The sequence below is a fragment of the Homo sapiens genome, chromosome 5 (assembly GCF_000001405.40).
Source record: "Homo sapiens chromosome 5, GRCh38.p14 Primary Assembly".
Lineage (NCBI taxonomy): Eukaryota > Metazoa > Chordata > Mammalia > Primates > Hominidae > Homo > Homo sapiens.
In genome coordinates this window covers 83466757-83481905 of record NC_000005.10, presented here as the reverse complement: position 1 = coordinate 83481905, position 15149 = coordinate 83466757, and the positions used below count along the sequence as shown (strand labels likewise).

The following is a 15149-nucleotide window of genomic DNA, read 5'->3' as shown; positions in this document are numbered from 1 at the left end:
TCATAAATTACAAAACTGATCTTGAACATAAATAGGGCTTGGAGTTGTACAGCATTTAATTAATTAAGACCTTTTCTCTTAATTTTTTTGCATTTGATTTCTTTATATATTTTGAAATAAGAATTAGACCTTTTCAAAACAAAATTTTTAAATTCTATAATTCTAGACACTCTCTGAAGAGCATTTTTTAAGCTAATACATTATACATCTTATATTTTCCATCTATAGACCAACTGATAATTCACAATGAAAAACATATGGTTGATAATCCTAAATTAACCCTGATAATTAAGTTTGTTATTTATCCTATAATCACTAGGATCTGCTAATAGACTTTGTTAAACACTAACTGGGAAATGCCATAATGTTTCTATGTTTCTGGATTTCTTATAAGACAGCACAGCAAGCAGGAAGTATATACCATATATCTATGCTATTACAATATTTTAAGGAAAAATAAAGGTATCAATTGCACAGCCAAAGTAAAAGATTGTATTTTATGATAAAAAGGTGTTAAAGAAAATGCATTCCATGAGTATTAGCTGAATCCAAATAAGAAACCTTTCTTTATGGCATGAACCCGGGAGGTGGAGGTTGCAGTGAGCTGAGATTGCGCCTGGGCGACAGAGCGAGACTCCGTCTCAAAAAAAAAAAAAAAAAAGAAATTAAAGATCTCTCTTTAATTATACTTATAAATAATAATTTCCTACTTTTCTTCAGGAAAATTTGTTCTCTATTTTTTATTTTTCTTTTTTTCCAGGAAATCTTTATAAGCCTAATTTTAAAAGTCTGGGCTCCACTGTCAAATAGCCCAGAATGCAAGTTCTGCATTCTCTACTTATATTCTGTGACTTTGGGTAAAATACTATATCTCTCTAAACCTCATTTTCTGTCACTACTTAGTTGTGAAAATTAGTACTTACCGAAGTGATCATAGGAATTGATAAAATAATGTATATAAAATAAATCTCAGTGATATACAATATATCAGTACTCAATATTTATTATTAAAATTACTAATTCAGACTTTCTGCAGATGTTCTAACATAGTTTCATATCACTAAGAGTAAAAAGAATAGTATTTGGGGCTCTTACATTTGAAAATTATAACCTAGGTTACCACTATAGTAGCAATATACACTTTATGCTTGGAATAAATCATCCTATAATTTATTGCTATGTACTTCAAATTATCTGTAAACATGTCTAATCTCCTCTGTAGAACAGTAGGCTTCTGGAAGGCAGAGCTAGTACTTTATTCAACTTAATAATTCCCACAATATTTCTTCATTGCCAGGTTCAGGGTATATCCTTGAGGAATGTTTGTAGATCAAATACATGATCAACGCCTCTATTTCTTATGCAGAAACACCTTTGAAACTCCGTGCCAACAATTCCTTAACACCTGAAATACTTTTGAACACTTTTGAATCAGTCCACTTGAAGATTTACCATGACCCAATAATATGATGTTTGTCAATATCTAGAGAGTCAAATCTCATTTAAAAAAACCAAAGGTGTGACCCAGGAAAGGATCTTCTGTATTTGAGTTTCCTACTCAATTTAAATACTAAAAATCGAACTCTTTGTGCCACACTCAATCCTTATAAAAGTGTCTTTTGTTGGGGAGAGGAGAATGGTCCTCCATCTACATAGGTACAACAAGTATACGCATCACTTTCCTTAAGATTACCCCTAAGACTAGGTAAGAATACAAGGAGGAGATCAGACATGCTCTAAATACATTTGAATAAGTTGCATAAATATGTTTGAATAAGTTACTCAATTTAAAAATTAGACTGTTTACACTAAATATAAGATCTCTAACTTCTTTCAAAAAATCAGAAGGTCTAGCAACACTAAGTCTATATTTCAGCTGGCTGATCATGAGCATTAACCAAGCAGCAGTCTCTCCCCTTAAGTCTGTGTGCTCAAGGCCATTACTGCCCCCACTTAGTCTCTTACCCATTTCCACTCCATGCCTCGCCCCTGTAGTCACCTAAGTTTGCAAACCTTGAATTAAAAGATGATCATTTATTTCTACAGTAAATATATCAGAGGGCTTTATTGACTTTAGCTGCCTCAGAACTACATTTCCATTCCCTCTTCTTTGGAGTCCAAGACGTTCATTCCACTTCTGTAATTTTCTCAAGGCTATGTCCCTATCCTTGGTCATTAAGTTACATCTTTTGTCTTCTATGTTTGATCATATTAAATGGAAAGCTTTCAGAAGCCTCTTTCTTTGTTTTTAGCACCACTCCAAATCCCTATTTCCATTCTTCCACTTTTCCATGTCTCTCTTATAAGCACCGTCTACTAGTGATAACAACTCTGTCTGCATGGAAAGACCTGAGAGATATGAGAGTGAATGCCTATATTTAGCCTTCTACTCCAGTGAAGTCAATGAGAAGGGAAGAAAGTCATTGAACAATCCAGGTACAGGGTACTGAGACTGTTTAATTGCCTGGGAGACATAAAAGACAAGGTCAATGGAACTCCTATCCATGAGAAATGTCTGCAGGGAGGATAAGGGACACACCAGGGATGGGCAGCCTCCGAGAGAAAGCCAAGATTCTATTAAATAGATATTTAGTATTCTCCCTTGATTTTGGGGAAGCTCAGCTGACAAGGGGTGACTTAAGGACAGAGACACGGTGGTTTTGTCCACCATTCTGCTAATTAGGTACCCTAGACAACCAACTTTCTAGGATACTTCAGCTACAAAGTGGATGTAATGAGCATCACATATCATATTGCTCACTGGTTCTTTCTCACAGAAAGAATCATTGTACAGCAGAGAGAAATCACGTGATTTAGGTGTGAAATTTCATGAATTTACTTCATACAAGTAATAGCATCATGTGAATTCCTGAACCTGGACTTGGCTAAGCTTTTTCACATTGTCGCCCCTTAGCACTCCTCTGTTCTCTGCCTGGTGAACTCCTTTCTCATTACTCTACCTAAGACATACTGTACTCTATTCCCTTTCCCATGCTCTATTTTCATCCTAGCACATATCACCATTTTGCATATGTGATTGGGAATTGCCTTTCTCTACCTACCATAGTAAAAGTTCCAACAGAGCAGTCTTTGATGTTTTGTTCACTCCTGTATCCACAATGCCTAGAACACTCAGTAAATATTTGTTAAAAGAATGAATATACACCCATTTTACATAATTAGATGTATAATATATACTCAGTTTTATCTATCAATTTTTTCACTTAGAATACAATATATTTTGGAGAATGTTCCAAATCAGCAAATACAATTTTTCCATGTTATTTTTGACAGCTGCATAGTTTTCCATTAGGTGGATACAGCAACTTTTATTTAAATGGTTCCCTATGATGAGCCTTTACACTGTTTCCAGATATTTGCTCTTAGAAGCAATGCTGCAAAGAACATCCTTGTCCATTTGTCTTGGGTGATATTGGTACCAATATCCATCCATATAATAATGTCGAGAAGTGGAATTGCTGAATCAAAGAGTATATACATCTTTTAAAAACTTTTGATAAAGAATCAAAAAAAAGTGATTGCCAAATTATTTTTTGAAGTAGAGGAACCTATTTACTTTCATACAACAGTATATGAGAGACCCAGTTTCTCCACAACCTGGCCAACACAAACTTGCATCAAACTTTTTAATTTTATTTTTGCCAGGCACAGTGGCTCATGCCTGTAATCCCAGCACTTTGGGAGGCTGAGGTGGGTGAATCACTTGAGGTCAGGAGTTCAAGATCAACTGCCATGGCCAACATGGTGAAACCCCACTCTACTAAAAACACGAAAATTAGCCAAGCATGGTGGTGGGTGCCCATAATCCCAGCTACTAGGGAGGCTGACACAGGAGAATTGCTTGAACCTGGAAGGCGGAGGTTGCAGTGAGCTGAGATCGTGCCACTGCACTCCAACCTGAGTAACAGACTCCATCTCAAAAAAAAAAAAAAAGAAAAAAATTATTTTTTTTTGTTACTCCTCTGATTGGTGAAAAAATGGTGTAGCATATCATTGGTGTTTTAATTACTATTTATTTAATTACAGATGAGGCTGAGCGATTTTTTCTATAATTTTAAAACTCTATGTCTCTTTCTGCCACTACCTGTACATAATTTTTGCTCATATTTTGATAGATGTGGACTTTTCAAAGTTATTCATAAAAGTCCATGGAATATCAAGAGTTATTAGCTTTTTGTCTCTCAAATGTCGTAGATGTTTTCCAAATATATTATTTGCTTTTGTGTAATTTTTACTTAGTCAGACCTATCAGTATTTCCTAGAATGGCACTGGGTTTTATGTTTTGCTTAGAACAGGTTTCTCTATTCCTAACTTATTTTTTTTAATCCCATGATTTTCTTTTATCATTTTGTAAAAAGTTATTCCCTACATTTCATATTTGATTCATCTTATATTTCTTTTAGGATGAGAAATCAGGTAGAGACTGATTCTTATTTTGCATGGACCCATCAATTGTCCTGAAACCATTTATTGAATAATTCTTCCTTTCCACTGAATGTCCAACTTCATTGGAGTCAATTTCTGTAACCTGTCTTCTGATTAATGAAACTAAACAATTTTTAAAACAATATGCCCCTCTCTGATTTATTTTATAGATTCAGTAGAAACTACATGGCTTGGGTAATGCAGTTATTATTAAAATTATAGAATTAGATCAATATGAATCCCAAGACATAATATATTATCATCCCTTTTTTGTATAGTTTTTCAAAGTACTTACTCTTTTGATCTTTATAACTGCATATTCATTTAATAGATTATGACACTAAAGGTCCAAAAGTAATATCTTTGCTTGGTTTTCTCAGCTAGTGAGTCCAACTCAAACTTTCTGATTCCAAGTCTAGTGCTCATTCCACTATACCTCAAGTAATATCAAATCAATAATTTAATAATAAAAAGATTATAATTTATCAAATATGTTTATTGTAAAATATGTAATCTCATTTTATAGACATAAACACCTCTTAAAATCCTTAGAAGAATGAGGTAGGATGTATACAGATGTGGAAAGTATATACATTTGTATCCTTTTATAGTTGGTAAATCTACCCAGAGGTGTGTTTCAGGAAACAGAACTGACACATTAAACAAAGATTCTCTGTACTGACCTCTGAAATACAACCACCTCTAACACATTCAATGGTAAGAACTTAGCAGTGTTTAAAAACCCTGTATACATACACACACACACGCACCCCCCACACACACACAGACTTTATATATATGTAATTTACCAAGTCTAGGCTACAAGAGGAAACTGGCAAAAATTCACTAATTGAAATGGAGCTTGGCCAAGACATCCATATCTAATCCCCCTTTTCTGATTCCAAATCAGGGAGAGTACATGCTTTGTGTTTTCTGGTAAAATACAGACCTATGTAACAATCAGCATATTTTCTCAGACCAGAGCAAGTAACTCCCAACAATGAGTGTTTGTCAGTCCTAACTGGTTTCTCTACGTGGGTGGTGAAAAAATACCTTACTACAGTCATTAATTCTTTCTTTCAAAAGAACCATGTGTCTTGAGAAGTTCTGCTCCATCACAGGGCAATATCCCATTTTAAATACAGTGTTTACCGATGTTTGTCCATGAATGACGTCAACAAAAATGTTTAAATCTCACCAGGAAAGGAGGGCTTAGTTGCCAGACTTTGGGAGACAGAGTTAGTTGATCTTTGCGCTCTCAAAGGCTCTGTTACTCAATTAAGTGACCAATCATTAACTCCAAAGTATTTAAGCCTAATAATACAACAAAAGAGAGAACAATGGGTAGTATCTTTAACATTAATCATGGTCACCTTTGGTTTAGCTGTTTAGGTCCTTTCCTAGCAGAATTTACAAGTGTATAGATACAGGTATTCTGGAATATCAAAGGCATCTCCCTCCAGTTTGCAAACACAGGGAAAAAGAAGAAACTTACATCTGTAAACCTATGTAAATCTAGGGGGATTCCTTTCAAACCTCGTTTTTTTGAAAGCAGGAAATACAATTTAAAACCAACTCTGTTTTTATCTACCAAAAGAATCAAAACTTTGAATTCTGACATAAATCCTAAATGATTGTCTTGAATCTCATCCCGCTTCCTACCTAATCTTCTCACAAGAAGATTAAGGACTGTGGACTTGGTGCTGGAGGAAGTAATTGCTCAATCACATTGGAATCCATTGGAACCCTTTACAATATTACTGCGGGCAGACAATACAATTCTAACATATTTCTTTCTTTACTCAGAGCTCAGAACAAGAAGTCAGACTCTTGGAGACCTTCTCCCTGATGTACTGCTCTTAACATTTCCAAGTTACAAACTGGGAACCGCTTCTATCTCAGAACACTAATTGTTGCTTCCATTGGTACCTTCCTATTTTTATATTACACTCACAACATCCTATTTTAGGACTTTATGTGAATATTTTCAGGATGGGTTTGGCGAAATTGTCAAGAAGTGCTTAAAACAATTAGGTCACAGCTTTCAGCAGACAAAAAGAAAAAGACGTGGCTGTTAGCTACAGAATCTGAGGTGATGGAAAAGATCTTTAAAATCCAGTTCTTCCAATATGCAGCAAAATGGGAGGACTTAAAATGCAGCTCTAAGAAGCACCGTCTCGTCTGCACCAAGCTTCTCCAGGTTTCCAGCTCAGTCACTCCCTAAATAGGTGCTGAGCTTCCAGTCCCCGCCAGGTCCCCGCTAAGGTTCCTCATTGAGGCACAGGAACCTCAGTTACACTCGCAGCCCTTCCATGTTTGCCCCCATGAAATTCTATTAGTCTTGTCGAATGGCAGTATTTGCCATTCCAGGCGAACTCTTTATGACAGTCTGGAACGAAATTAATCTGTTAATTGACTAAGAATGGGCTTTAGAGTGACCTGAATGTATTTAAAAAGTCAACAAATGGAATACGGTATAAAGTCTCATTTTTCTGACAAAAAGTTTGCTTGGAGTAAATTTTAACCTCTCCCCTGCCTCAAAACAAAAGCACGATGCCCCTCCTACCACTCCCAAGAAGCAAGCAAAAATAAAATAAAATAAAATAAAACTTAAATAGCCTTTTAATAAGAGTGTTCAGCGCTGTCTGGATGGAACTCGGGTCAGCTCCAGAAGCAGCCGGCCCCGAATCCTGGGGGCGAGGCCACTCGGCTCTCTCGGTTAAGCTGGGCCCTGCCTTCCCCGCCCCGCCCCCATTGGCCTCGGTGGGTGGGGGCCTCGGCTGCGCCGGCCGCCTGTGCGGCTGTACTGCAGTCTCTGAGCCCAGGAAGTCACACCCGTCTCGGCTGGGAGCCGAAGCGCCAACCCACGTGGCGGCTGGCTAACCCAGCCGCTGCGGGGAGCGCCCGTTGCGGGTCCTCCCTTGGCGCGAGGTGAGCGAGTGGGGGCGGGCCCCAGACCCAGCCCCTTTGGGCGGGGCTGGACCACCTCCGCTTGTCTAGTTCTTTCCCACCCTTCCATCCCGGCACGCCTCTGCAGTCACATTTGTTGCCGCTGGGAAAGGGAAAAGAGTATCCTAAAACGAGTCTCGAAATTCAGACCCAAACCCCGAAACGAACCCTTCCGGTCCGTTCCTGGCTGTTTGAATGCCATCTGCCCCATCTCCGTTCCTTTCTCCTTTTCCTCCCCTCCACGGTCCTCTTTCCTTCCACTTCCCTTCCTTCCCTTTCTTTTTTCCTCCCACTGCCCGCCTTCTCTCCACTTTCCCGTCCGACGCCCGCCCTGAAGTTGAGGAAGTTTAAGTTTTGGATTAGGAGCCCTTCTTTTGCAATATCCTGGGGCGGGGCCCTAGCGTTGGGTTCAAGTGGTCATGGGTTTTGAGAGCACGGTATGTGTATTATCTTTCTTAAAGACGCCCAGGGTGGCGCGTCTAGACCTCCGAAACCTGGCTCCACCCTGGCCATGTGCGTTCGTCCACTAAGCGGCGAACTGGACCCAGGGCGCCGCGTGCGTTCCAGCCGACTCGCGAGAAGGCATCTCTGCACTTTGCACAGACCAAGACCTTTTTTCAGGGTCCTCCAAACTCCTAGATGTACGCCGCAGATTGTGGAGTGCAAAATGAATGACTTAAGGGAAAACTAGGGCCTTCCATCCTTGAACACAAGGTTGTGAAAGATGCTCGCTTGGTCTGGGGGGCTTGTTTTTCTCCGCCTGTGCGGGACTTCTCCATCAGGGGGCGCCCACACCCGCCGCAAAACTCCCAATTCCTAGACATCTAGGTTCTGCAAGTCTTGTGAGCTGAACTGGGGGCAGATCCGAAGGAGCGCACCGCCTCCCTCGCTCCTCCCTCCCTGCTGCCTTGGAGCACGGGAAAGGCAGGGATTTCACACTAGCCATTCATTTGTCAGCTGTGGGGGAGGGGACGCAGAAGCTAGAGAGAGAGAACAGAGGCTGGGAGAGGGGAAGGGAGGCAGAGAAGATGGAGACAGAGGGAGACACAAAGATGAGGAACGCGACCCAGAGAGACTCTGCCGCGGGTGTGCGCGCGGCAGGACAACTCTCCAGGCGCCGTGTAGATTTCTCCCCCTTCCCGCAGCATCTCCCAGGGACATGCAGGACTTGCCGAGACGCAGTTGGATTGGAGAGCAAATAGTTTAGGCTATGACACTATTTTTCTACCCCGCTCTCCTCTGCCTAACACCCAGACCGCTCCACGCCCAGTGACACAGACCGCGGGCCAGAACAACCCGGATGCCCTAGGTCTGCACGCACCAGGGATGTCGCCCTACAGCGCCCACGCCTCTGCAGGACGGTGGGGCGCTCCAGCCGAGGACGTCCCCCGGGGCTCCCGGCACACGCGCGCGCCGCTGCCGCTAGACCTGCCAGTAAAGTTGCTCAACTAGAGCGGAGAACTAGGAGAGGGTGGGGAATATGTAAGGAAACGGAGGACTCCTGTAGTCTGGGCGAGAGGACTGACCCAGAGGCCCCTGATTCGGGTCCCCGAGCCACCTTTGTCTGCAGTGCGCTCTGGGTGCCGGTTTGCTTGTTGAGATGGGAGCGACAGACCCTATTTCACTCTTCAGGGTGAGAAAAATTGTTGCACATCCCTGCCGATTCAGAACAGGCTTTTCCCGCCCAGGGGCCTCCCAGACCTCCGCGGGGCTCCAACAACCCCACCCCCCATCCTCTGCTCCTTCCCTGCTGGCCCCTTCGCACCGCGTGCAGGACAAAAGAACCCAGGGGCGCCGGGAGAGAACCGTGACAGTCCCCAAGTCGTCAAAGAGACACGGCGGGGATCCTGCACCTCCCCCGGCCGGACCTCCTCCCAGACTGCCTGCGGTCTGAAGGGGTCAGGTCCGCGCAAGGTCCCAGGCTGCTTGGGCGCCGGGTCGCACTGTCAGGAGCTGCCCGGGAGTGGCTTTCCAGGAACACCAGGCACTGACCACACACCAGGGGCTGGGAAACCAGGTGGCCTGCACCAAGGCGGCTTCGGGGACTTGTCTGTGGCAAGTCTTGGTAGTCCCCATTCAAACTTTTGCCTCGAGCGTGTTAAGAACAACAACAACAAAAAAATCAAAGTGCCAAAGGTCCCTCTCTTCTCTCCAGCTCAAGAACCCACCACTTTTCTATGATTTCTTTACAATTTATTCCCTCCCTTCCCCCAATTCCGTTAGTCATTTTACCCCCCACCCCACCCTGGGTTTCTTTTGTCTGAATCTTTTTCAACACCAAGGTCCCTCTGTATGCCTCTCCCCAAAAGCCCTTATGAAAGTTACCTGCATTTTTTAAGTGCCTACATTTTCTTAACTTCGCCTTACAGCTCTTTGCCTTAATTAAAGCCTTCTACCAATTGCTTCTTTTTTCTAAGCTCGCGGGTTTTTTTCTATAAGTTTTTTGTTTTTGTTTTTTAAGGGGGGAACAAAAGAAACGTGATTACCTTGGAAGGCGGCTTATTGCAGTTTGGGGGGAAAATTCACTGCAGCGCTGCGCGACTGGGTTCGGCGTTGCCCAGGCGGGTCACATAGGAAGCGTGGTGGCCCGGGGAAGGATGCGGAGGGTGCGGGACGGTGCTGGAAGATGCGGGAGGATGCGGGGCTGGCCGAAGATCTTGGTCCCAGCTCCTGTCCACAACACCTAATGTTCTCGGCTGTTGCGTCCGCACGCCTGGAGTTCTTCCCCAGAAAGGCTCGGGGCAGCTCGCCTGCAAGTTCAAATGCGGGTTGTGACACCCATCATCATTATATCACTGTACCGTCAGAGCCGAGGAGGAGACTCAGCGAGAAGAAGGAGGAGGGAGAGGAGGAGGGTTCATTCACAGGCTCCAAAAGCGCTCCGCAGCTTCAGCCACTCCTAAGAGTCCAGGCTTGGAAAGCAGGCGGAGGGGCGGAAAGGCAGCTCCCCGCGCCTGCGGTAGGGACCGCCTGCCTCCCTCCCCAGGCACTCCCACCTCTTGGCGTTTCTTCCTGACAAGAAGTACCAATCGGCTTGGGGACAGCAGCGCTCCCCATTCAGGGACTCACTCAGTAACATCGCTCTGCTCGCGGAAACCACTGCCCTCCCACTCCTTCCCCACCCCCATTTCCCCGCCCCCCGTGCAGCTAGTTCTGGGTTAGGGGAAAGGAGCCCCCAGGCTCTTAGGGGGCAGGCCAGCAATAGACAATTGAGTACGATCACTTCTTCTCGGGAGCACACAAAACTGTAAAATCAGCAAAGAACTTGGTTACAGCGTGTTTACGCGCCCACAGAGCTTGCCTGTCCCATCAAAGGGAAGTGTCAGGCTCAAGGCTCCTGCCAACCTGAAAGAGACACTGAGAAAACGAGATCCTTCGGGGACCTAGAGGGAAAGTGTAAGAATTCCCCACTGCACTCCCAGGGAACTGCCCAATGGGGAGCCCGGCTTCAAAAGACCCTGGTAATAAAAGGCTGGACAGGAAATTCCCCCAGGCAAATCCCTTGTCGGATTCAAAGAGAATACTTTTCCTCTGCCACAAATCTCTCCCCACATAAGTCTAGATTCTGCTTTCTTCGTTCTTCCTTTCCTTCAGTCTTTCCAAGTATCTCTGAGTAGAATATTTGATAATTTTCCTGAGTAACAGGGACTTCTTGGAAGTATCAATCACCTTTCATGCTTTCCGGAAATAAGACCATAATCTTTCATGCGTATATGCGATTTTTTTTCTTCAGTCAGGCCCACCCCACTGTGTAAACAGCATCAACACATGGAAGAGTCCCCTGCATTGTGTTACAAAAGATTTCCAATAGGACCTTACAGAGAAAAGGGTCAAACAGTTGACACAAAGGATTTCTGTCCCCTTAGAAAAGAGGGACTTTGGATTTTCCTTTTCTTTGAAGTCAAGTATGAGTTTATACAATAGGAACAAAATAAATCCAAGGTGCACATCAGTATAACACTAGGGATACTAGAATGGATGGCAAACTTTTCCTTCTACACAAATATGAAAGTATCCTCACAACTCTTCTCTCTGAAGCCTCTACTTAGAAAATTATATTAAACATAGGACCTCAAAACAGTAGTGATTAAAGATGAAAGCCAATTTTTCCTCTCAACTTCTTTGATTAGTTTGGTTTAAACTTATGCTTTAAAACTTTTAGTAACTTAGACTCCTGTACATGCGCATTTATAAGATTTCTTTTATATTTTGTAATTTGTAGGCATTCAGCATGGTCATTGATTTTAAGTGATAAACAGGTAGAAGACTTGTCAGGATAATTTCAGTTCTCACCATGTGCATCTTTCATTTCTTTTGTTATTTATCAGCCCTCTGCAGTAATATAACTGTCAGTTACATCATTTGGAAATCAATGTGTTTTTGCAGTGAATTATTTATTCTTAGTAAATTTATTGTACTACCATTCCAAACACTGAAATTTGATTTCATCAGATGTTTAGAATGATAGTCACAGAGCAGAATCAGACTTCAACCTTCATGTATAACATGTAAACAAACTAAGGTGCAGAAAGTTACTGTCCCAAAGTCACACAATTAATAGTCCAGTGGTCTTTTCAGTGCTAATCATAGCAACTTTAGATTCAAGATTGCTTGATTCAGGAATGGAGAGAAATAAAATAAAATGAATGTTCATTGAAATATATACTCCAGACATTAAGATAGACCTTTCTGTGAAACACTTCAAGATGTGGATTTGTATTCTCATTCTTAAATTTGAGTAAATCTAGTTGAGTTTCAAAGAGTTCAAGTAACCTGCCCAAGGCCATTTTGTAAGTGACAGATCTGCCAGTCTGAAAAGCTTATTATCTTTTACCCTTTTGTCCCTTTATGATACAGTTAAGTAAAACCTTTCAACAAAGGAGAACTAGATCAGAAACAAGCAACTAATAGCAGATTAATGCCCATTTTTAGGGAAATGTTAATAGTTAACATTCACTATAAATAATGCCATCTGTATATAATGGAACATGATTGAAAGTGATGGGTTAGATACTTTTTACATTCTGAGATGTTTTCATTTATGTTGCCAAATTTGATTCTCTAATCCTCCAAAATTTTTAGTTTCTTTTAATGCCAATAGACTTCACAACACTTGACCAAATACTTCTACAGGACAAAGGCACTTTCTCAGGGCTGACTTAAGGAATTAGAATATGCACAATGTTGAAAAGCTTTAAACTGCCTGTCTTTTCTCTTCTTTGACTTGTAACATTATTATTCAGAAAATTAAATACTTCTTCAGGCTATCAGATAACTAAAATGAAATTATACCCCATGGATATCTTCTTTCTATCTCTAGGGCAGACTTTCCCCTCTAGCTGTCTAAAATGGAGAATGGATAAAAAAGAAAAAGGAAAACATACCAGCTATATTTAGAATAGAGTCTACAGTTGTATTATTATTTCTATGTAACTGTTTTTAATGACTTTCCTTCATCAAGAGAAAGAAAATGAGAGAGCATTTATTTCTGATTCTCCAATGCCTGACAAAACTATCAGAAGTTTTTGAATGGGAAAATATATATTTTTCAGGTTTTATAACTAAAATTGTATTTATTTGTCCATTACACTCAAGTATGAATCAAACAGTAATTAAAATATTATTCTGTGAGTCCCCCTTTAAATCACATCCTTGTACTGGGGATATTCTTTGTGAAAACTCCAAGATCCCAGGTATAAATAAAGCAAGATCTTCATTCACAATGCTTGTGTCTAAAAGAAACCATAAGCCAGAAGCTATGTGCCTTGCTTCCTTGCTTTGATCTTGTCTTTGGGAATTTGGCTGAGCTCAGGGGCAGCAAGCCAATGACTTGGAGAGGAAAGGTGTAGATGGCAGATGTGTCTCCAGGGAATTTTATTATCTTCATCTAAACCTCCTTCTGAGGTTCTTTAGGATTACATTTCAGACTTCTCCTTTTTTATTGATCAGGTGAAGTGTTCTTAGACATGGCATCATCTATTGCTGCTCTAGGGATGACAAGATTCCAGTCCCATTCAAATTCAGAAAGAGCTTAGTTTCAACTCCTTGATCTGACTGGTCCTAGGCACAACTAAGCAAATTATCCTCACTGGATGATACAGTAATGCTACAGATTAAAAATGTACTTTTAACTTTCAAAGACCCTGGAAAAAGGAAGCCTATCCTCTAAGATTGTGTCATAATTTTTTTTTTAAATAAAACACTGCAAATTAGGGACAGACATTTCATCCAGCACTTTGAATTCTCTTTGGCTTTCTAGGAAAGGCAGAAATACAAGGTCTTTATTGCCTTCTTTTTATTCTTAAAAAAGAAATCTTGCAAAAGGCAAAGTGATGGTGGCAATCTCATTGTGCTTTAACCCGAAGTATATAAATTGCTCTGATAAATTAAACACAGACAAATTTCCTTAGAAAGCCATAAAACATTAGATTTTTCCCAGACATCAGATATTGAGTTTTTGCTCTCCAACCCCCAAATCAAAATGTTACAGTAAAATATTTGTTTTAATAAATTTTTTTTTCTCCTGTGCTGTAAATGTCCTGTTCATGGTTGAGCAGATTTCTCTAGAACTTAACTGAAAGACCATCTACATCACGACAGAACTATGCAAGCCAAAGCCAAGTTCCAACATGGAGTGATGGGAGAGGCCGGGCTGCCGAGAGGAGATGACTTCATTAGTGAGAAGAGAGGCTCTCTGAGCCGGTCCTCAAGGCAGCCAAATGGCTCAGCACATCTGCACTCACCCTGGGAGGCTGCCTGGAGCAGAGCATCAAAAACGCTATCTTTTTTATAAAGAAAAAGATGAAGGCATAAAGAACACAGTCCAACTAAATTGAATCAAAGATTGTATCACTCTTACTCCCTCCTTAGTCACTTTCTCAAAGTCTTTTTCTTCTCTCCCCACAGTCTGAAAAATATAGGTCATTTTTATAAAGCATTTGTCTGACTGAAGCAAGACAAACTGAAGAGTCTGGTTTCTGAACACAAGGAAGCGGTAGAGATCTTAGAATCAATGAGGCAGGGCGGAATACAATGCAGAAGGTTTCTTAAGAGGCAAAACTTTTGCAGTTGCTGTTTATTTTCAGTGACTACCCGTTTCCATTTATTTAATTAGACTACAGTGGGACCGAGACAAGGAGCATAATGAAAGCTGCTGCACTGATGGTGCAAAAAGACACATGGCATCATTAATGTCTCTGTGGTGAGCAAAGGTAGAACGCAAGACAGAAAACAAGGAAACCTCTGTGTTGTAAGAAAAGTGTTCAGCATGGGTATCAACCGGCATGTAGAAGCAGCAAGCATACATTCCATTTTTATTCTATTGACAAAAAGAATTGCAGGACTAATGCTTGCTCCTATTAAAATATGAGAAATCACATTTTAATCCTACAAATCAAAGGTCAAATATTTGTTGCAATAATTCCAAAAAAAAGAGAAGATCTGTAAGACTTAGCAAATACTTATTACAAACAGACTGCTTTCAATTTTTTATATTTTCTCTCAATTCAACAAAAGTTTATTGAGCAGCTTTTATGTGCATTGTTTTAGATAGTAGGCATTATTCAAAAAAGTAACAATTATTTTCCATCTTTAAGGAGTTTATAATGTCTCTAGAAAGAAATTAACTCATTGGAGTAGCCAAAGTTATAACTGATCTATAAAATGACTAGTGAACTTAGAGGAAAATTATATATAAATATTTTTGTCTCCATTGGCTGGTTCAGCTAGACATCATTTTAAAAAACATCCCATT

The 15149-nt window shown here is 41.0% G+C and overlaps 1 protein-coding gene across 4 annotated transcripts in view, besides 5 other annotated features; it reads right to left on the bottom strand.

Moving 5' to 3' along the window:
* VCAN (versican) overlaps positions 1–10162 on the bottom strand; it is a 110559-nt gene extending 100397 nt beyond the window's left edge. For all 4 annotated transcript variants that reach the window (NM_004385.5, NM_001164098.2, NM_001164097.2 and 1 more), the window contains exon 1: positions 9883–10162. The gene's annotated coding sequence lies outside the window, so the exon portion shown is untranslated. The remainder of the gene's footprint in view (positions 1–9882) is intronic.
* Positions 5264–5786: an enhancer, noted in NCBI's record as "OCT4-NANOG hESC enhancer chr5:82771939-82772461 (GRCh37/hg19 assembly coordinates)". NCBI's record gives its function as "activates a minimal SCP1, AML or CMV promoter by ChIP-STARR-seq in naive and primed H9 embryonic stem cells {active_cell/tissue: H9 hESC(naive and primed)}" and the evidence as "EXISTENCE:reporter gene assay evidence [ECO:0000049][PMID:30033119]".
* Positions 5787–6309: an enhancer, noted in NCBI's record as "OCT4-NANOG hESC enhancer chr5:82771416-82771938 (GRCh37/hg19 assembly coordinates)". NCBI's record gives its function as "activates a minimal SCP1, AML or CMV promoter by ChIP-STARR-seq in naive H9 embryonic stem cells {active_cell/tissue: H9 hESC(naive)}" and the evidence as "EXISTENCE:reporter gene assay evidence [ECO:0000049][PMID:30033119]".
* Positions 7089–7308: a silencer, noted in NCBI's record as "silent region_16155". NCBI's record gives its function as "represses an Ori minimal core promoter by ATAC-STARR-seq in GM12878 lymphoblastoid cells {active_cell/tissue: GM12878}" and the evidence as "EXISTENCE:reporter gene assay evidence [ECO:0000049][PMID:35858748]".
* Positions 7339–7428: a silencer, noted in NCBI's record as "silent region_16154". NCBI's record gives its function as "represses an Ori minimal core promoter by ATAC-STARR-seq in GM12878 lymphoblastoid cells {active_cell/tissue: GM12878}" and the evidence as "EXISTENCE:reporter gene assay evidence [ECO:0000049][PMID:35858748]".
* Positions 8861–9733: an enhancer, noted in NCBI's record as "H3K27ac hESC enhancer chr5:82767992-82768864 (GRCh37/hg19 assembly coordinates)". NCBI's record gives its function as "activates a minimal SCP1, AML or CMV promoter by ChIP-STARR-seq in naive H9 embryonic stem cells {active_cell/tissue: H9 hESC(naive)}" and the evidence as "EXISTENCE:reporter gene assay evidence [ECO:0000049][PMID:30033119]".